Source organism: Homo sapiens, chromosome 2, assembly GCF_000001405.40.
Source record: "Homo sapiens chromosome 2, GRCh38.p14 Primary Assembly".
In the NCBI taxonomy this organism is placed as follows: Eukaryota; Metazoa; Chordata; class Mammalia; order Primates; family Hominidae; genus Homo; species Homo sapiens.
The window spans coordinates 110,976,767-110,999,390 of NC_000002.12; the positions used below are offsets into that span (position 1 = coordinate 110,976,767).

At 40.9% G+C, this 22,624-nt stretch overlaps 1 protein-coding gene across 29 annotated transcripts in view, besides 1 other annotated feature; it reads left to right on the forward strand.

Moving 5' to 3' along the window:
• Nucleotides 1-22,624, forward strand: part of ACOXL (acyl-CoA oxidase like) — a 385,976-nt gene that overhangs the window by 244,194 nt on the left and 119,158 nt on the right. For 28 of the 29 annotated variants that reach the window (NM_001437600.1, XM_011511414.4, NM_001142807.4 and 25 more), the window contains 2 exons: nt 10,342-10,451; nt 19,127-19,238. In NM_001437600.1, the coding sequence (NP_001424529.1) occupies nt 10,342-10,451; nt 19,127-19,238 (222 nt within the window). Of the gene's footprint in view, nt 1-10,341; nt 10,452-19,126; nt 19,239-22,624 lie in introns of those variants that run through there. The other variant, XM_047444908.1, reaches the window with a different exon arrangement.
• Nucleotides 21,593-22,167: an enhancer, noted in NCBI's record as "NANOG hESC enhancer chr2:111755936-111756510 (GRCh37/hg19 assembly coordinates)". NCBI's record gives its function as "activates a minimal SCP1, AML or CMV promoter by ChIP-STARR-seq in primed H9 embryonic stem cells {active_cell/tissue: H9 hESC(primed)}" and the evidence as "EXISTENCE:reporter gene assay evidence [ECO:0000049][PMID:30033119]".

The following is a 22,624-nucleotide window of genomic DNA, read 5'->3' on the forward strand; positions in this document are numbered from 1 at the left end:
GGAAGATTCTAGTGATATGATGGAAAAGGCATGTTTCTTCTTGAAACAAGAGAAAGAATAGTCCATTAAGACTCCAGGAAAAACAAAACCACTCAAGAAAAGCATGCTCCAACTACGAGCAAACTAAAGCATGACATGAGAATGTATTTGACCTTCACACTGGGAAGCTTCCCCTTCTAGGAGAACAAAAACTACTTAAAAATGGTTATTTCTGGAGTGAGTTATTAAAGGTAAAAGATTGGGTAGGAGATTTTTGCTTTTTATTTAAGACTATTTAATAGAGCTTTTAATTTTTAGAGATCAAGTATATTTAAAACCATTAAAAAATATTCTCTCCCGGCTGGGCATGGTGGCTCACTCCTGTAATCCCAGCACTTTGGGAGGCCGAGGTGGGCGGATCACGAGGTCAGGAGATTGAGACCATCCTGGCTAACACGGTGAAACCCCGTCTCTACTAAAAATATAAAAAATTAGCCAGGCGTGGTGGCAGGTGCCTGTAGTCCCAGCTACTCAGGAGGCTGAGGCAGGAGAATGGCATGAACCCGGGAGGCAGAGCTTGCAGTGAGCCGAGATCGCCACTGCACCCCAGCCTGGGTGACAGAGTGAGACTCCGTCTCAAAAAAAAAAAAGAAAAAACACAAAAAACTTCTCTCCTTTTGATATAAAATGTCAGGGAGGGAAGAAAAGGAATGAAGAGTGACAAAGAAAGGAAGGGCTTTTCAAGAGAACAAACCAACTCATGATGCACACAAACTCACCCCATCCTCCAACATAACAACCCTCTTTACTCCCACGAATGAACAGACAAGTTCTGTTTTTCTCTTTCCAAATCCATTGACCCATACGCAAAGCTGGCACTAATTTTTTCGAAACCAGATGTTGCAGCATCTAAATATTTACATTGTTCCTCATCAGGACTCCACGTGTGAGATTCTGGAGAAAGGGAGCCTTCTGGATCAGGGGCCTTTGCTTGTCTTTTCTTCTCTGCTCCCCAGAATTTGATTTTAATGTAGTTTTTCAAATTGGGGACTATGAGTTCTTGACAAAATGTATTAATTTTGTGTCTTAATTTTGATGATCATCTAAACAGATATAGTCTAAGTAGTATACACAGATCATCAGGATAACAACCATATAACCAGAGATTGCCGTGGGGATTCTGGCCTTTGTCTTGCACTGCTAAGCCCATCAGCACCAGAGAACACCTTCTTGATGACCAGGAACCAATGAGGAAAGAGCAGATGTAGGTTTTCTATGATTTAAAAATCTGTGTTTAGTGGAGGCCGAAGACTGGTATGATGTGCTTGCTGCTTGAAGAGGTATCTTAGTCCATGTCTTCTTCTGTAACAGAATACCACTAAGTAATTGATAAAGAACAGACATTTATTTCTTACAGTTCTGGAGGCTGGGGAGTCCAAGACCAAGATGCTGGCCTCTGGTGAGAGCTACTCTCTGCTTCCAATATGGCACCTTGAATATTGTATCCTCACATGGCAGAAGGCAGAAGGGGAGAAAGGGGTGAACTCACTCCATCAAGCCCTTTTCTAAAGGCACCTAATCGCATCCACAAGGGAGGAGCCCTCATGGCATAATCACCCCTGAACGTCTCCACCTTTTAATACTATTACGTTGGCAACACCTAAATTTTGGAGGAGACACATTCAAACCGTAGCAGAGAGTTTTACAGACCGCAGAGAAGTGTGGCAGAGGGATCTCTTTGCCCAGCCCTCAGAGGTGTGGGTATAACTCCCCCAAAGGAACCGGTGCAGGCTGGAAAAAAACAAGTTCATGCTGCAAAACACAGTCTGTCACATGTTATTAGGGCTGTTGATTTGAATCTTATTGGTTTTGTAGTTTTGCTTGTATTTAATTTCATAGTTTAGAGTTGAACAAGAGCTATAAACATAAGGTGTTTATATCTAGTTTTATGTTTGAACATGTTTGAGTAACATTATAATTCGAAACAAATCAACATTGGGGGTTAAGGAGAATTGTTTTTCTTTCAGAAAGGGTTTGCACGATGCTCAAGTTGTAACAAACTAAGTAGAATTTCTTTTTTAACATTCTGCCCATTGCCATTTCATTCTTTATTTTGTCACAGCTTTAAGACAAGTTACTTTCTCTTTTCAGTTGAAAAAAATTCCACAAGTAACATGTATTCCAGCAACACTGGACGGTTTGTTGTTGTCATCAGGGCTTGGGTGTTGGGAGGGGGCTGACACACACATGCACATGAGGAGGCTTGCTGGAAATGAGGGCGATTCCGGGGGTGAGTGCAGGGTAGAGGGAGGCCAGGGGAGGTGAGAATGGGATGGGAAAACACTTGGGAACAACAGCCGGCCCTGCGCTAGGGAAGGTGGACACATCCACTTCCCTGAGTTCGGTTCAGACCCAGTCACTACTGGGGTTAGCAGTCAGGACACATTTGTCTGCTTGTAATAAATACCCATCTAAAGTGGCTGAAACCATAAGAACGCCAACCATGCTCCTTGGTGACCCCACAGCTGGGGCCTGTCTGCCCTTGAGTCCCTTGCTTCTGTCCAGCGTCCAGTTCCATTGACACTGGAGTGATTTCTGGATTATCTCATCAGTGTCTCAAAATAGCTGCCACAATTCTGGGGAAGACAGCACGAGGGAAAACCTTCCCCAGAAACCTTCAGCTGAATTCCTCATAGGTCCCATTGGCCAGGACGGTGCCCGTGGCCCAGCTGTATGAGAAATGGCATTTTCTACCTCTTTAGTGAGAAGTTTGGGCCAGAAGTCTGTGTGGGGTGTGAGGGCCCCAGCTGCCTGCAGGAGTGGTGTGCTCCTGAGCTGGACTCCACTGGGCCAGTTACAGATGGTGACGGGAAGAGCACAGGGGGTGCGGGGCAGGGGTACCCTCCCAGGCTCTTTATACCATGTGCATGGGACCCTTGGACTAGGCCCACAGCAGGGATCACCAAATCAATCACTTTCAAGGCCGGGCAGGTACCTTAATAACTGTAGCACACCCGAGACTCAGATTGCCATGGGCAGTGGTGCAAACGGAGGGCCTTTGCCCCTTTCCAAGGGGGCTGTAACCTCTCCTCAGCTCCCACTGACCATCGCTTTGGGGGAACATTGGTTCAGGCTTTGCAGAAATTCTGAGTTTTCAACAGAAGGTAAGCACATAATTTGTTTTTAATGTGAAATGGCCATGGGGGTTATGAGGGGTGTGTCTAACAAAACCCGTCTTTGGCATGGGGTGAGTCACAGAGCCTTGCACACAATAGGCTGCAAAGGAGGGAGCTCTGGAGGAAGAATACACGCTTAGGCCAGGGCGGCCTCATGGCCAGATAGCCCAGGCTCTGTTTCACCCACATTGAGGAACTGTGAAATCCTGGGCTTAGCCCCTCTGAGAGTTACAGCCCTCACCTGCAAAACTGGGACCATCACCTGTACCTTGGAGGACTCTTACAGTTACTCCTGTAGAGCACTCAGCACCCAGCAGGGGCTCAATTAAAGCTGTGTTGTGGCTACTAGAATAAGCTATGGGTTCTGCATATGGTGATGGTTTGGTTGCCAGACACCAGGGCTCACGCCCCTACTGTGGCATGAAGTAGCCTGGGCAAGTTCCAGGTAGGAGAGCGAAAATGTGTGCAGGGGACTGATGTCATGTGGTGCAGGTGTGTGGGATGGGAAGCGAAGGGAAGAAGAGACCCCAAGAAGGGAGAAAGGGACTGGAAGAGCTCCCTGTTCCTGTCTATTGTGGCACAGCAAAGCACCCCAAACTTCCTAACTTAGGAGCACACAACCACAACCACCTCATTGGGCCTGTGGGCTCTGCTTCAGGTCAGAAATTCTAACAGGAAATCGCAGAGGTGGCTCATCTGGCAGCCTGCTGAGTCTCCACGCTGGGCTCCAGGTGCTGACACTGTCACTCAGTTCCCCAAAGCGCCTGGATAAAGGCAGCTCTTCAGACAGCAGCCAAGGCCCTGGTGTCTAGCCCTGCCCCTGCCCCTTCCTGCCGTACACCCTGGCCGCCCAGGCTTCTCCATGCTGCTGCGTCTCTAAAGCCGCTCTGCCCGCGGCCCTGAAAGCCTTTGTTGCTGCTACCGTTCCTTCTCAGATTGAGAATTTATGTCAAGTGTGAGTGCGCAGCCCCTCTCTGTGCCCACTGAGCTTTGAGTTCACCTGTCATCTCGTCACATTATCCTGACATGCTGTCTGCTCTTGCCCCTCCCCCAGCACACCAGGGGTTCCTGCATTCTCTTTGTATCCCCAGTGACTACACAGAGCCTGGCATATAGCAGGTGCAGCTTAGGTGTGGAATTATTGAAAGCATGGACTCTGGGCTGGGTGTAGTGGCTCATGCCCATAATCCCAGCACTTTGGGAGGCTGAGGCGGGTGGATCACTTGAGGTCAGGAGTTCGAGACCAGCCTGGCCAACATGGTGAAGCCCCATCTCTACTAAAATACAAAAATTAGGTGTGGTAGCAGGCGCCTGTAATCCCAGCTACTCAGGAAGCTGAGGCAGGAGAATCGCTTGAACCCGGGAAGTGGAGGTTGCAGTGAGCTGAGATCGCACCACTGCACTCCTGCCTGGGCGACAGAGTGAAACTCCATCTGAAAGCGTGGACTCTGGGTTGAAATCCCAGCCCCACCGCTTCCTGGCTATGTGACCCTGGCAACTGGCTGAACCTCTCTAGGCCTTGGTTGTATTATTGGACCATGGGGTGAGCGATTCCATGAACTACCCAAAGTTGTCATGAAGATTAAATTAGGTATTCCATCTAAAGAGTTTGGAACAGAGCTTAAGTTTGGAACAGAGCTTAGCCTTAGTAGATAGATGCTCAAAGAAAATGAGTAGTTGCTGCTATTAGGTGTTGTATATATGAATGAACAAATGAATGAAGCTCATTCGTTCTTTAAGGCTTAGGTCAAAAGCTCTCCTGTTCCATAAAGCTTTCCCCAGTCCTCATAGTAAAGGGATCCACTTTTAACTTGCTGTGCTTCTGTACCTGTCATGTTCTTTACAGGTCCCTCTGAGAATAGTTGCGTGTGCATAGGCTGATCTCTCTATCTGCACTGGAAGACCCCGAGGGACGGCTGTATCTTATTTATCTTTTTAATGTTCCCTATACTCAATATAAACAGTAGGTGCCTTGTACATAGTAAGTGCTCCATAAATGTAGCTGGAAGGAAGGAGGGAAACCAGAAAGGGGAAACCACTTTATATCTAACTGGAAAGAGACACCAACAAGGTCCAGATTTAACTGAAACAACAACAAAACTAACCGCTCTTAAGTTCGATTGAATTGTGCATGATTTTTTGCTGGGCCTAAATCACTGCTTCAGATCCATCCATCCTTCCTGGTTTGAAGTTCAAATCCGTGGTTTTTTGTTTTGGTTTGGTTTGGTGTTTTTTTTTGTTTGTTTGTTTTTTGAGATGGAGTCTTGCTCTGCGCCCAGGCTGGAGTGCAGTGGCGCAATCTCAGCTCACTGCAACCTCCACCTCCCGGGTTCAAGTCAAATCCGTGTTTAAGGCCCAGCAATTACTCAGAGCTGCTTACTTGTTGGTTTCTGTGCTAAAGTAGTCCTTCCGCTTCCCTTTGCCCTTCCCTCTCTTCTCTCCCCGCTCCTTCTCCTCTCGTCTCTCCCCTCTCTTCCTCTCCTCTATTCCCCTCCCCTCCTCTTCCCTCCCTTCTTCTTCTGTCATCCCTTCCATCTCTGCCTATTTCTTCTAGCCAGGGAATTTTTAAAGATTCTCCCCGAAGACATCTTGCCTTGATGGGATGTCCAGCATCTAAAAGAGGTAAAGAGTTAAAATGCATGATGGTGGAAAATCAAGACCATCCCCTTAGTCTTTTCTTCATTCTCATACCCATGGGTGACCCCTGAAATGCCCTTCAGGAACCTAGGCTTGCCAGATGTAGGAAAAAGAAATATAGGATGCCCAGCTACATTTGTATTTCAGGTAAACAAGAATATTATTTTAGTATAAGTATGACCCATGCAATATTTTGGTGTCCAAATACAAATTGGGTGTCCTCTCTTTTATCTGGCAGTCCTGTTGGAACCCCTAGGGCCAGGGCCAGCTTCATGGGGTGAGATTTGTGCGGTGGTACAGGACCCTGCCCTCAGAAGGGACCATGCTTGGTTCAGTGCTCTGTTCTCATCATCATAAAATTCTTAATAATTTTTGAAGAAGGGGGCCTGCATTTTCATTTTGCGTTGGGCCCCAAATTATGTAGCCAGTCTACCTAGGGCTCCTTGGAGCATGATATGGGGCCCAGTGCCGTAAGTACTGCCACTTTGAGTCAATCTCCCACTCTATGGTACAAACCCAAGTATGGTCCCACTGCCTGGATTCATAATGGATATCTGGTGGGATCTCCTTGGAAATCACATTTTTCTATTATAATTGGCTCTAAGTGTTTCTGCTTTGGCAGCAAACTCTACTTGTTAGGCTCTTTAATCCAAGTTTCACTGTACCTAGCATAAATCAGTGAAATACTTAGTGTGAGGAAATGCTGGTTGCTTCATAGATGCCTTGAAAAGTGATTTGACCTTAGAAATAACTTTTATTGGTGTTACATAATCATGTTGCATGATGTATATGATATTTATTGCAAATGCATGTTGATGATGTCATCATTCTGCACAATTGCCAAACTCACAGTTTCCAAATGTTGGCTGTAGATTTGCTTGATTCCTCCTGCAGATGGGACCTTTTTTAAAAGAAAAGACATGGATGTTTTGACTGCTCACTCACCCTAGAGTTCTACTAAGAAAGGGGCTCCTGAGCAGGTGTATATGAAAATAAAGAGTGCAGAACCAGCAGAACATGCAGAACCAGAGACCTGTATGAAAAGCCACAGAAACACCACCCACAATCACCTATCACAAGTTGTCTTAAGGAAACCTTGAATAAGTAAAACACCAGGCTTACAGGAGAGTGTAATCACTTGTGTTGCTGAAAATAATGTTTCACTTTACAAAACAATCTACTACTAGGTCCATTTTAAGTAATGAAATATCTAGAACTAAAACATGTAATGAATAAAAATTTTTTTGAATTTCTTAGTTTTGATAGTCACCATTATTATGTAAGAGATCACTTTTTTATTTTATTTTTGGAGACAGAGTCTCACTCTGTCGCCCAGGCTGGAGTGCAGTGATGTGATCTCAGCTCACTGCAACCTCCGTCTCCCGGGTTCAAGTGATTCTCCTGCTTCCCGAGTAACTGGGACTATAAGCACGCACCACCATGCCCGGCTAATTTTTTAATGTTTTTGGTAGAGACGGGGTTTCACTATGTTGGCTAGGCTGGTCTCGAACTCCTGACCTCAGGTGATCCACCCACGTTGGCCTCCCAAAGTGCTGGGATTACAGGCGTGCACCACTGCGCCTGGCCAAGAGATCACTTTTTAGGGGAATCTGGGTGTTGGCTGGAGAGAATCATTCTATGCGCTTTTAACTTTGCAACTTCTGTGAGTCTACGATTATTTTTAAATAGAGTTAAAAATTATATATATACACACACACATATATACTACATAGTATATTATAATATATTCAGGAACACCTCTATGAGGTAAAACAAGCACATCTTCATTGCACACTCAGTCTAGGTGGTGACTGATCTCTCTTTGCCTCTGCCTGGTAATTTATAAAATAAAGTACTGGACCTAGAGTCTGTAATGCCCAAATCCCGTGGTAGCTGATGGCTTCAATCACTTAATCTTTCACCAAAGGGGCATCAACAGCAGAAAATAAACTCATTTTTAAAATCACGTTTCCTTGTCCCATGACCTAGAAAAGGAGCAAAGATCCAAAGTGAGTAATCTGCTTTTGTGATGTTAGCCAGAACCAAATTTATCTCCCTTGTCTTTCTTAAGTTTAGCACCTGAACTTGATTATTGTATCATTCTAATTTTAATCCTAGTTAGAGTGAGTTAGTTCTACCCAATTTTAGTTGCTTAAATGGAAAAAGTGGAAATAGCGGCAGAAGTTAAAGGAGTTTATCAAGGAATTGGACGTATTGGATGAGATAGGGAGAACAGGAAGGGAATGTACTTATTCATTTACTCAAGGGTGAGTCCTCGCCTCTGGGCTCTGGGCAGTACATTGTCTGATGGCACAAGGATGGACACACTCCGACCCCTGGCACTTGCTTTCCAGGCTGCCGGAAGACAGCAAGCCAGTAAACAAGTTGTGGTCTGTAGCACCAGGTAGCCATAAATGCCATGGAGAAAAATAGAGTAAGAGAAAGCTGTGGGAGTGGGAATCAGAGAAAGCAATTTGTTCATACTTGGAGTGACATTGCTTCTGCAGCAAGAGTGAGATAGAGTTACAGCCATCATAAATTTTATAGATTAGCAAAAACAAAGTTAAATCTTAATCCTGGTATTGCGTTAGTGAAATGGAACTGGATTGCTATTATCATTTTAATTTTAATTCTAGTTAAAGTCATTTTATTTTCCCCACTTTTCCAGATCCTGGCAGGGTTTGATTCTCACACTTACTTTGTGTAGCAGCAGCCATAAAAATGTACATGTTCTTTGACCCATAATGCAGTGATTCTCAATCTCACTGGACCTAATGCCCTCTTTTTGACAATAAATATTTTGTAACACTCCCTTTACTAACCTGAATGAAATCACGGATCACATAACCTATCTAGAGACGTAATTGCAAGAATTCAAGACAATACTTAAGGAAACCAAAGGCAAGTTATTTATATTATAAATATATTTATTTAATAACAAAGTAAACATGATCACAGCAAGACATACAATGCCTGCATCTATACTCAGAATTACTGTGTCAGCCTCGAATGCAGATGCCCAGGCTTATGGTCCAGTCACACCTGGGAGCATTGCAGGTTGCCATGGGGATGGGAAAGGAGAGGCGGCGGTGTCACTTGTGTACTGGCCTAAAGCACCTCTAATTTCAAGGGAACAGGGGAGTTTAATTCTTCCATAGGCCTGGGACTTGGAAAACCTGAAAGCTTTGGTGTAACTAAGTTCAGGGCTCTTAACTGCCTGCATGTATTTTACCACGTGGCATTTGACAGGACACGGGGTATGGCACAGTCCTCTGTTGGTTGAGACGGTCCCATGCATTTCATACCTGGCTCTGCCCACCAATGCCAATAAAGCTTCCCCAGGCAAAAATGCCTTGAAAGTTTTCAGCATCCCTCTTATTGGCAGAGTGGCCCTCTTTAAGAGCCTCTGTATCAATCAAGTTCGTGGGGATTTATTCTCAGGAAATAATACAAAATATGACTATGCTATTTGTCTGCTTATATTGCTATCAAGGTTATTATGACAATGTAAAACTGGAAACAACCTAAGTATCCAACCAAATGGAAATGTTTAGTTAGCTATGATTTATCAAAACAAAAGTATACGGTTAGTAAATAAACAAATAGAATTCTACATAACAGTGCAAATCAAAAATGTCATTTATGATATATTGTTGAGTTAAAGCAAACATAACATTTTATATAATCTGTATAAAAACATGCATGCATATAAAGCAAAGAAGAAATGTTCTTAAATTGATAGTTGAAAGAGAATGAATCAGCTATCTATTGATTTGTAACAAACCACCGCAAAACTTAGTGCTTTGAGACAACAATTTGTTAGCTCATGATTCTGTAGGTCAGCAGTTTGGGCTAAGCTCACACGACGTGGTTTTTCTGCTGCTCTGCTGGTCTTCCCTGGGCTCACTCGTGCTGTGGCAGCAGCATGTCGGGGCTGAGTGGAGGCACGCTGGTCCAAGGTGGCCTCGTTCACATGTCTAGTGGTTGTTGCTAACCATCAGCTGAGTTTCTGCAGCGGGCTAGCCATGGACATCTTCTTTGAACCGCCACAGAAGAGCATGCAGTATTTTAGGCCCAAATTATAACTTTAAAGCTGCTGAAGTAGAAGATAGAGATTGAAGTAGAGGATAGAGATTGTTTTATTTGTGCATTTCAATACTATTCCCCAAAGGTCTAATTGACCAGAGAATGTCAGGGGTGAAAAAGAGAACGGACCAGCCTTCTGGTCCACGGAAGGCAAGCAGGTTTTACTAAAGTGTCAGCTAAAACAGTTGGTCCCAGGACCAGTGTTAGAGACTGATACAGGCAAGAAGGGAGAGCAAGCAATAAGTAGTTAATGAAGTTGGCCACAGGGGAGGATGGGGGATGGTGTGATAAATGCCCCACATTTGCCTTGGGGAAATAGAGACCCTTGTAAGAATGAGGTCTTGTATTTGATTCCTTCCAAGGAGTTTGCTAAGTGACAAATAGATCTTATTGGGTTGCAGTATTAAAGATACTGTCATTTTTTACACTGCTGAGACTGATGAGCGATAAACTCTTTGCACAGGTTGTGGGGCGGGAACTGCTGGCCCAATACACCAAACAGTATGAAGAAAAACCACTCTTTGGCCTGCTCCAAAACTGGGCTGAATCTGTGGGGGACAAGCTGAGAACCAGGTACGTATTACTCAGGCCATCATCATCTGCCTTCAGTGGGTTATCATGAAGCCTGAGTTCATACAGCCTTGGCATAACTCACTCTTGCTTGAAATTTTTAGTGTTTGCTGTATGCAAGAAATCTGTGAATCTGTAAAATGAATACTCATACACTCACTACCAACTTAAAAACTAAAACATTGCTCATTCTGTTCTTTCTCCTTGAGTTCCTTCTTTATTTCATGTTCACTGTTCCAAGCAGTTTACAGATTTTAATCCTAAAAACCCCATGAGGTAAGTTCTTATTTCCATTTCACAGATGAGGAAACTGAGGCACAGAGGTTAAGTACCTTGCTCAAGGTTACATGGCTAGTGAGTGGCAGAGGTGAGATTTGAACCCAGACAGTCTGGCTTCAACATCCATGCTTTTGGTTGTTTGTATTAATCTTTCAGTATTGTCTGTTAGCTTTATAAATAAAGCATAATATATGTAACATTTTGTAACTTTGTTTTCCCTCAATATTTTGTTTCTTAGAATCATTCAAATTGTTAAGTATAGGTGCAGAACTCCTCTTCACAATATTCTGTAATATTCCATCCTGTATATATGCCACACTGTACTTACCCATTCTAATCTCTGATATCTTGGACATTTGGGTTGTGTATGGTTTTTTGATATTTTGCATGATGCTGTTATGAAAAACCCTGTACATGTTTTCTGGGGGATGTGCACAAGAGTTTTTATAGGGCTTTCAAACTTAATTGACATTACTTAGAATAAGAAATACACTTTAAATCACCATGGACACCCATATATCCATAGGACCTCCACTTCAGACGCAACTGAAGCAAACAGTTCATGGAGCAGTGGCTACCTTCCTATTTATTACTAGTGATGCTCTCTGATATTTTTAAATTTTATTTTTAAAGAATACTGATCTTAGCAGAATATTGATTTCAGCCAGACATGGTGGCTCATGCCTGTGATCCTAGCACTTTGGGAGGCCAGGACAGAAGGATTGCTCAAGCCCAGGAGTTCGAGACCAGCCTGGGCAATATGGTGAGACCTCTGTCTCTACAAAAATAATACAAAAATTAGCCAGGCGTGGTGGCACATGCCTGTGGTCCCAGCTGCTTGGGAGGCTGAGGCAGGAGGATCACTTGAGCTGGGAGGCAGAGGTTGCAGTGAGCTGAGATCATGCCACTGCACTCTAGCCTGGGCAACAGAGTGAGACCTTGCCTAAAAAAAAAAATACTGACCCCAACCCTTAAACTGATTTTATGACCTTTTAGTTATTTGCAATCTGTTGTTTGAAAAACACTCCCCTACGGTATATATTACCTAGGAATGGAATTGCTGTGCTATGGAGTAATGTTCAACTTTACTAGATAGTGACAAATTATTTTTCAAGGTGGTTGTATAAATTTACACCCCCATTAGCAGCATGTATCTTGTGGGGCCTTATTCTGTTCTCACCAACCCTTGGTACTATCAGACTTCTTAATTTTTGTCAATACAATATAAGAAATGATCTCTCACCCTGACTTTAAACTGAATTTTCTCAATTACTATTAAGGATGAGCATGATTTCACATGTCTGTTTGCCATTTGTATTTCTTCCTGTGTAAAATGCCTGTTCATGTTTTTTGCCTATTTTTATTGTGTGTGTGTGTGTGTGTGTGTGTGTGTGTGTGTGTCTTGTTCTTATTGATTTTTAAGGGCTCTTTATCCTTTGTTGTTACAAATGCTATAATTATCTTTTCTATGTTTGTGGCTTGTCTTATATTTTCTTTATCGTGTGTTTTGATTGAGATAAATTCATTAATTATAGTCGAACTTATCAATCTTTTCTTTTATATCCAACACTTTTTCTGCATCATCTATTCTGAGGTCATGAAATCTATATCTTTAAAACTTTGAAAGTCTCACCTTTTACATTTAATTATTGAATCCATACACATTTTTGTGTATGGTTTGAGGAAGGGATCTAATTTTATTTTTCTCCTTTGTGGACAGTCAGTTGTTCCGGCACCGTTTACTGAATTGGACATTCTTTTCTAGTAACCTGCAAGGTCTCTTTGACATTTATTAAATCTCCGTCTATTTGAGAGTTTGTCTTGGGGCTATTTTGTTCCTAGTCTCTTTGTGTATTTTTGATCCAACAATACACTGTTATAATTACTCTGGCTTTATAATAAAATATTACTATAGTATTATTATATCAGAAATGTAATTCAGAATTGGGTTGGCTGTTCAGAATCTTTGGCCATTTCATGTAAGTTTTGTAATAAGTTTGTCAAGTTTCTTAGAAGTAAAACAAAGGATGAATATTGTAGGATTGTACTTACATGACATACCTAGAGTAGTCAAATTCGTAGAGATAGAAAGTAGAATATTGGTTCCCAGGGGCTAAGAAGAGGAGAGAATGGGTAGTTATTGTTTCATAGGTAGAGTTTCAGTTTGGGAAGATGAAAACGTTGTGGAGATGAATAGTGGTAATGGTTGTACAACAGGGTGAACGTACTTAATACCACTGAACTGTACACTTACAAATAGTCAAAATGGGCTGGGCACAGTGGCTTATGCGTGTATCAGCACTTTGGGAGGCTGAGACGGGTGGATCACCTGAGGTCAGGAGTTTGAGACCAGCCTGGGCAACATGGTGAAACCCCGTCTCTACTAAAAACATAAAATTAGCCAGGCATGGTGGCACATGCTTGTAATCCTAGCTACTTGGGAGGCTGAGGTAGGAGAATTGCTTGAACCCAGGAAGCGGAGGTTGCAGTGAGCCAAGATTGCGCCATTGCACTCCAGGCTGGGCAACAAGAGTGAAACTTCGTCTCAAAAAAATAAATAAATAAAATTAAAATGGTAAATGTTTTGTTATTTACCATTTGTTATTTGTTATCACAGGCCTGCAAACCTGCTGAAAGTTTCTTTGAAAATATATTAAATCTATATACTTGCAGAAAATTGACATATTTATAAAGCAGGTCTTCCTCTCAAAGATTTTCATCTTCAAAGTGTCCTTCAGGGTTGTATAATTTTTTCCATACATACTATATCCTTTCATAGATTTATTACTGGTTACTTTATAATTTTGTTGTTAAAAGAATATTTTTAAATTATGATTTTTGTAGTTAATGATTTATTATACATGCAATTGGCTTTTGTTTATAAATCTGACTGTAAAGAAATTTCTTTTAAATGTGTCTGTAGATTCTTTGGAGTTTTTTTCCATAGACACTAATTTGCAAATTATAAATTTTTATTTCTTCCTTTCCAACTGTTATTTATTTTATTCTTTTCATGTCTCACAGCAAGAGCTAGGACCACCAACACAATTTGAATAGAAGCCATCTTACAAGGTGTTCTTTTGTCTTATTGCTGATTTTATTTATTATGTTAGAGACAGGGTCTTGTGCTGTCTTTCAGGCTGGAGTGCTGAAGTTTTTGATAGACACACTTTACTTCCTAAAGAAGCTTATACATTTTAAATGTATTTTTGTCATTACCAGATTAATTTTATCAAATGATATTTTTCTGCATCTGTTGAAACGATCATATATTTCTTCTTCATTTTGTTAGTTTGGTGAATAATTTTTGCCGATCATCTAATGTTAAACTACCCTTGCATGCTTAAGAAACACTCAATTTTGTTATGCTGTATTATCATATTTATATTTTCTTGGATTTGGCTTGTTAGTATTTTTTAGGGGGAGGAGATTGTATATTTATGGTTTTCCATTCTTGTACATGCCTGATTTAGATTTATGTCAAAGTTTTACATCTCTCATAGAGTTATTTTGGGGGGAGTGGTTTCTTATTCTGTGAAAGAATTTGATAATTCATCAAATTTGAAAATAATCCGGGCTTGGCGAGTAAACTATTTAATTAGCTTAATTGTTTAAAGCCTAGGCTTTTCTTTTCATGTTAGTTTAAGTAAATTGTATTTTTCTAGGAATTTATTCATTTGGTTTTGATTTTATTGGTATAAGTTTTTATGTGTACTATTCTATCATTACCTTTTTAACTTCTGCTAGATCTGTAGTTGTGTCTCATTTGTCATTCCTAAAATGCCTTCTTATGCTTTCTCCTTTCTTTGTTGTTGTTGCTCAGTCTCATTCAGATGTTTGACTGGTTTATTGTTATTTTTCAAACAACTGATTTTTCCCTTTGATCCTTTGTGTCATACCTTTCTTTTCTATTTCATTGATTTATGCTCATGAATGTATTGTCTCCTATATTATACTTTTAGAGAGCTTGTTATGCTTTTTTCTTTTGTGTATTTTTTAATTATTATTTTTTTGAATGAGATTATTGGTCCCTCAAACCAAAAGTATTGAACTAGTTTCTAAGGAAACTATTCATTAGAAAATAGAATCTCACAATCCTGATTAAACACATGGAAAACACAGTAAATGATGGCCTGGGATTCTTTATAGCCATTGGGATGACGTGAAATTGAGAAATCTGTTATCTGTCTTTTTTTTTCCTTTTTTTATTGCTGCTCAGGACCCTGTTTATTCAAACTGTGGTCCATCTTAAAGCTTGAAAACACGAGCTCCTACATGTTAGGACTGTTTCACTGGAGTCTCTGTTAGTTTAAATGTCTCCATTTGTCTTCATACTAGAGCTAGTGGGTCTTCCTAATATTTCTAGCTGTTGAGTAGGACGTTTACAGTATGGTTAGCTTTTTCCTCCAATGTATTAGTTTGAAAATTGTCCAACATATTAAGGAGTTGAAAGAATAGTACGACTCCCCACCAGAATCAGTTCCATCCTTGCAGGAAACTTGTTCCCCAACTGGCCACAAATCATCTGCCCTTTCGTTTCTTTTTCAGATAGCAAAGCAGGGCTTGATTCCATCATTTTGGAAGCACGACACGCTCTCACCCATATGCAAATCTATATCCCTAGCACATTTTCCAGCACAGAGTTGAGATGTGCCAAAGGCAGTATTCCAAATGTAAATATTTGGAAAGTTCCAGTCCATTTATTTTTGTCTCAGTTATTAACCTCCAAAACAGTGTACATCTGTCTCCCACACATCTAGGTTTTACTGATTCAGTCCCTGTGTTTATCTACTTAAATCCCGAAACTTTACTTACTCTGACTTTATATGAAGGAAAGCCTTTGTCATCAAAGTGTTTTCAGCACTCACTGTGTACCGGGCACTTCTCTAAGCATTGGTGATCAGCAGTTACTAGGGGCTCTGTCTTCATGGAGTCTGCACTCCGAGAGCAGTAGGATAGTAGGCATAGTGACAGCCCTGAGAAAGGTACTCTTGAGCAGGTGGGGACCTGAGGAAAGATGGGCTGAGAACTTCCTGGTACCCTTAAATCCCTCCAGTGGGCACCCATTTGTCCGCACAGTAACTACCCCTCATTTCGGCCTGGAAGGAGTCAGTCATGGTACTGAAAAGCCTCCATGGGACGAGGTAAGGCAGATGGAGCATGGCAGGGAGAGGAGCCCTGAAAGGAAGTGGCTTTGAAAGGGGGTTGTACCTGGCTCTGCAGATAGCCCCATTCAGCTCTGGCTTGTCCCTGCAAGGGTTGTCTCTCTTCCTCCTGCATGGTAGCCTGCCACTGGGGCCCCTCCCACTCTCATCAGCCTGTGGACCTTTAGGAGGTGGTGGTAGATGTCCAGGAAAGTCAAGATTTTGCCTTGCACCCAACGTGTTTTTCTACATTATGCTGTAAAATTTACAAATATTCAGCAAAGTTGAAATAATTTTACAGGAAGCATTTATGTACAAACCATGGAGATTCTATCAACCTATTACTGTACCTGCTATATCACTATCATATCTATGGATCTGTGTATGGAACTCACCCATCCATTCACCTTCTCTTTTTGATCCATTTCAAAATAAACTGTAGACATCAGCACATTTCTAAATAATTTAGCATGAGCGTCATTAACTACAGTTACATATTTAGTTATAGTTCTTCTTATGTTGAATTTACGTACAATAAAATGCACAAATCTTAAGTGTACATTCACTGAGTTTTGACACATGCATAAACCTATGTAACCAAACTCATATTAAGATACAGATCATCACTCCAGAAAGTTCTTTCATGCCCCTTCTTGGACAATCTCACTACGCAGATACAGCCACTCTTCTGATATTTTCCCACCACAGATTAGTTTTTCTATACTAGAACTTCACATAAACAGAACCAGGCAGTATGTACTCTTTTGTAGCTGCCTCGTGAAATTGGCATAATACTTTTTGACATTCACCCATGTTGTTGTGTGTATTAGTTTGTTTCTTTTCATTATTGTAGTATTTTACTTTATGGATATAGTAGAATCATTCTCTTATGGATGAATAGACACCTGGGATGTTTGCTGTTTCTCACTTCTGTGAGTAGAACCGCTATGAGCATTCTTGTATAACCTTTTTTGTGAGCATATGTTTTTATTTCTCTTAGGCAATTAGTAGGAGTGAAACTGCTAGATCATAGGGTATGTGTTCATTTATTTTTATCAGAAACTGTGACAACATTTTGCAAAGAGATTTCACCATTTTACACTCCCATCAGCAAGCATGAGAGTTCTGGTTTCTCCAGATCCTGGGCAACACTTGATGTCAGTGTACTTAATTGTAGTCATTCTGGTGGATGTATAATGCTACCTCACTATGGTTTCCGTTTGCATTTCCCTGATGTCTAATGATACTTATTTTAATTTAATTTAAACTTTATTTAAAAATAGAGTCATTTGGATCTTCTTGTAAAATACACAGTTACAAGGAGGTTGCCTTTAGCAATGTTTCTATTTTTAAAGAAAGTCTGCACACTCTACTGCACTGGGCAGGCTCCTAGACCTACATGACATGTGACTCACATGACTCAGCGAGTGGGTGAGATCCCCTTCCTGCAGCACGTGCAGTTCACAATCTCAGGTGGACAAACATGTTCTACAGTCTGAATTCCAGGGAAGCTAATTTCCAATATCAGCCCCTGGAATGACTAAAACATACTTTTCAATAATATATGAAAGCTTTTTACATCTTTCATTAAATAGACTGAGGCAGAAACCCAAACTTCTTAAAGCCCAGATTCAGAATAAACATTGACATCTTTTAAATGTCCCGGTAATTGGCATGTAAATACTTTCCTCTTCCCTGTCTAAATGGAGGGTGATTATTAATTCAGCACTTGGCATCTCAAAAGCACTGCGTCAATTGCTTCTTAACGTTTCTCTCGTGCCTTCTGATTGAGCAACAACAGCCACTTGGGTTTTTTTTTAGTTAATATGAATTTAAGTTATTTGAGTCTTGTAATAACTTACTTCCTCAGGAAGTGGGGAAAGGGGAGGGCAAGAGGTGGCTGTGCTATGGGAAACCCTAAGTGTGAATTAACCCTTCCCCTGGTTGTCTAGGTTATCTAAAGGTTCATGGTGGGTCCATAAAATTGGCATGAAATAGAGTTTCATGATGAAAAGCTCACGAGCTTTTAATTGTGAACTTGGTTGTTTTGAGTCTGTGCTTACCTCTCTTAACTCCTCTGTGCCTCAGTTTCCTCATTTGCCAAATGGGAAAGATGGGAATTGCTGCCTGCTGAAGAAAGCTACCATCTCTGTAGCACATCCTCCCCTGTGCTTGCACACAGCCCTATCACTTCCCTCCAGGGTGCCTCTTGCTTTAAATGCTGATGTTCCCCAACAAAACCTGAGCTTGACTGAGTTCTGCCTGTGTGACCTTGAGCAAGTTACCAAATCTTGCTAAGCCTCAGTTTCCTAAACTCTACATTGGATAATTATAGTATTCTAGAATTATCGAGAAAATTGAATAATTCACAGCAGATAATGAACACAATTCCTGATATATAATATATTTAATAAGTATTATTAATTGATAAATATTTTGTAATAGATATATTTGATTATTAATATCCAATTATAATAATTATAATAAATGCCCAGCAGTGGTTATTATAAACTCACTTGATAGAGCTGTATAGTGGTTGAGTTATTATTATAAACTCACTTGACAGAATTGTATAATGGGGGCCAGGCACAGTGGCTCATGCCTGTAATCCCAGCACTTTGGGAGGCTGAGGTGGGCAGATCACTTGAGGTCAGCAGTTCAAGACCAGCCTGGCCAATATGGTGAAACCCTGTCTCTACTAAAAATACAAAAATTAGCCAGGCACAGTGGCATGTGCCTGTAATCCCCACTACTCAGGAAGCTGAGGCATGAGAATCACTTGAACCCAGGAGGTGGAGGTTGCAGTGAGCCGAGATCGTGCCACTGCACTCCAGCCTGGGAAACAGAGTGAGACTCTGTCTCAAAAAAAAAAAAAAAAAAAGAATTGTATAATGATTGAGTTATACATGAATTGTATAATGGTTGATTATACTTGACAGAAATTACATTGCTGTTAACTAAGAAAGACTATGTAAAATATTGAACACTACTTATAATACAATAGTAAGTGGAACAATTAGGAAACCAAATCATCTCTATACCACAAGGACAACCACCTAGAATAAACTAGAGCTAAGATTACCGAAAAGAATTATGAATACAGTCAGTGAGAGATGGGATGGGGAGATTATGTCTATTGACACTATTTTTCTACAGAAAAAAATAGTTTTAAAAAACAAACCTACTCTATTTCTTTCAAATGAAATTCTTGGTGAGGCCAAAATAATAATGATGGTCACCGTGATTTTCTTTCAGTTTCCTGGCATTTAACATGGACACAGTTGATGATCTCGCCTTTCTGTTGAAAGCAGTGAAATTTCGTGAAAGGGTTCTTCAGCGGGGTTTGGTGGCCAGAATTTATTATAAGGTAAAGATACACTGTGTTATATTTTTCCTTTTGACATGTGTTTAAGGGATATCCTTGCTGGTGAACTATCTGTTAAGTTTAGTAGAGGATGAGTCAGCCTAATGACAAGCTCCTGGAAGCGGCTAGAGTTCCTACGGGCCATTTTGCATGATACCGTTGCTTGCTCTAGAGGCCAGGATGCTTCTGTTTAACCCCCTTTATGTCATCTTGTAGAATTCCACCTGCAGGCATCATGTGGCTGCCATGGGAGTTGATGAGTGGTGTAATTTTCAGCCCTTATCAAAGTTGAAAAATCATTGTTTTATGTGTATAAAGAGTACATCGTTCTCTAAGACAGGGAGGGGAACTGCCTCAGGCATATGTAAAAATTAACATTGGGTTAGTCTAAGATGCATTCTGTCTCCTATTAAAATACCTGTAAAGCTCTGCAAAAGCATAAAACCTTGTGTCAGCATTGATAGAAATCTAGAGGAAATTTCCACCAAGTACAGTGCCAGTGGGGTTAGTTTGAGGGATCACTGTCCACCCTAGCAATATCTGTTTCATCTTCTGATCCGGCACAGAATAGCCAATGGAACCCCAGGAGAAGGCTTTACTGCTCCTATTCTATGTCCAGGCCAGGGGCTCAGGGCTACCATAACAAGAGTCCAGGTTGCTTCTCTCCTTCTGCATGGGAATTAGGTTCCAAGCCAGCCAGAATTGGATTCCTGCAATTCTCCCCTTCCAGTTCACCCCTTTTTATATGAATTTCAAGGTCATGTCTCCTAGTACAACACAGCAGGGGTAGAAGGGAAGAGGATGGATGGTACATGGGAATGGGTATTCTCTTAGGAAATGCTTTGGAAACAGAAGTGCCCTGGAAGCAGAAAGCAGCCAAGATCCACCCTCGTGGAACAAAGCCACACTGGATGAGAACCTGCAGGAAGCCAGGCTAGGAATTGTGTAAATCAATTTTTCCCCCAGGCGTAGATCTGAGGTGAGGCTGTGCCAGACCCCACAAACGCATTCAGTTGGGTTTAAATCACTCCACATATCCTCCACATATCAAACATGGAGCCAGCCAAAATAAGAGATGGATATATCCAAAAGGAAAAATGCTACAGCTGCGGTGAAGAGCAGAATTAACAAGGGAGAAAATGCAATCTGTAAACTGTTTTCGAAGACTATAGAAGAAAAGGCTAAAGACAAAACGATAAGAGAAGAAAACAGAAGCAGAGTGAAATGATAGAAATCTAACCTATGGATAACAAATATTCCTGGAAGTGCTGGGACAAAAGGAGCAGAAATAATAATCACAGACATAGTAGAAAAAGAATTTCCTTCATTTCCATTATGCTAACGGAAAAAAAAGACTTATACTTAGACATAGATGAAAAATCTAGAATAAAGAGAACAGAATGTGAGCAACAAGACAGAAAATAATAGCTTACTCAAAAACAGAAAAAATTAGGCTAGCTGCTGTCATTCACTAGCTCCAAATGGAGTAATAAGTACTCCTCTAAAGAGGAAACTTCATGATCTAAGCATAATATTCCAAGCCAGATTTAATCCCTGAGTACAGCCAATGGAAAGATATTTTTAGATATCTAAGAATCAGAAGCAATTTCACTAATATAGCCTTCCTTAAAAAGTTATCTTAAAATTTACTCCATAGGACACAAAAAAGAATCAAAATGAATAACTCTAAAATAAGGAAGTCAAGATATAAAAAGATTGGCGGTCCCTGTGAAGCCAATACTATATGTTTTTAAAAAACAGTCACGAAATTGGCTGGGCGTGGTGGCTCATGCCTGCAATTCCAGCACTTCGGGAGGCCAGGGCAGGCGGATTGCTTGAGCTCAGGAGACCAGCCTGGGCAACATGGCAAAATCCCATCTCTACAAAAAATACAAAGAAATTAGCCAGGTGTGGCAGCACATTCCTGTAGTACCAGCTACTGAGGAGGCTGAGGCAGGACAATCTCTTGAGCCTGGGAGTCAGTGGTTGCAGTGAGCCAAGATCACACCACTGCACTCCAGCCTGGGCAACAGAGAGAGACCCTGTCTCAAAAAATAATACGGAAGCTAAAAATATTTTTTTTTTGGAAAAAAACATGATTTTTTAAAAAACTTGATAAACTGGTTCTGTAATAGTCTATACGAATTTTTAAGGTAAGATGAAAGACAAAGTAAAAACATACTGAATTTCTTACATTAATTACAGGGTAAGCAAAAGACCTTGTTTTGTTCTGACTTTAGTAATTAGAGAAACATAGGTTAAAATATATGTTTTATTAAATTGAAAGCTAACATAACTACTGAACACAGAATGCTTGTTTTCCAAATCACTGCAGCAGACAAAGCAGTGAAGATAAACAAGTGGTCAGAAGTTTGTGTAATCAGAGCAAAGCAAAGAACAAATCAGAAAGCATGTTCTCAGAAGACTCAAAGACACTCCAGTGCGGCTCCTTTAAGTGAACCCACAGCAAGGCCAGGAGAGCTGTTTAAAAAGTTCCCACTGCGAATTGCGCCTTGGTTTGAGAATTTCTCCGGGATTGCTTCCCTAAATCTGTTTCCCATTAATTGTGATATCCCCTTTGTCTCTTCTAATTTGGCTCAACTCAAGACCCCTCTCTCTGGCCCCAGAAGATTAATGCTTTGATCTTGAACTGAGTTGATCTGGTAATTCCTTGAAAACAACATTTCCATTACAATATGATCCCTTAAGCAGTGGAGAGGCAGCTTTTGATACATTTTCATCCTAGAGAGCCTTAAATCCCTCCAGCTCCCACCTCTGGAAAGTGGGGGATTAGATTTAAAATGGGCTATAATATGAAATGAAAGAGGTTTCAATCCTCCTAGTAAAAGCACAGACTCTCAGATTAGATTAGATTACACATTGTGTATAGAAACAAATCTAATTATATGCATTGATGTATAACTATACACATCAAAACAAAAAATGATATTTTAAAAGATTTTCAAAAGTAAACAATGAGTAAATGTGTGTTGGGAAACAGCAAGATATTTTCAGATATCTGTCAAAAGGTTGTTATATTAGTTAGTTGGGGCTGCCATGACAAAATACCACAGACAGAGTGCCTTAAACAACAGAAATTTATTTTCTCACAGTTCTGGGGGCTGGAAGTTCAAGATCAAGGTTCCCAAAGGGTTGGTTTTCTTTGAGCTTCTCTCCTTGGTTTGTAATGGCCGCCCCGCTTGCTACCTCTCATGGCCATCCATCCATGCACCCACACCCCTGGTGTCCTTCTTCTTATAAGAATACTGTCGTATTGCATTAGGGCCCCACTCTACAGCTTCATTTTAACTGAATCACCTCTTTCAAGACTCCCATCTCTTAAATATGGTCACATCCTGAGGTACTAGGAGTTGGGACATCAATGTTTG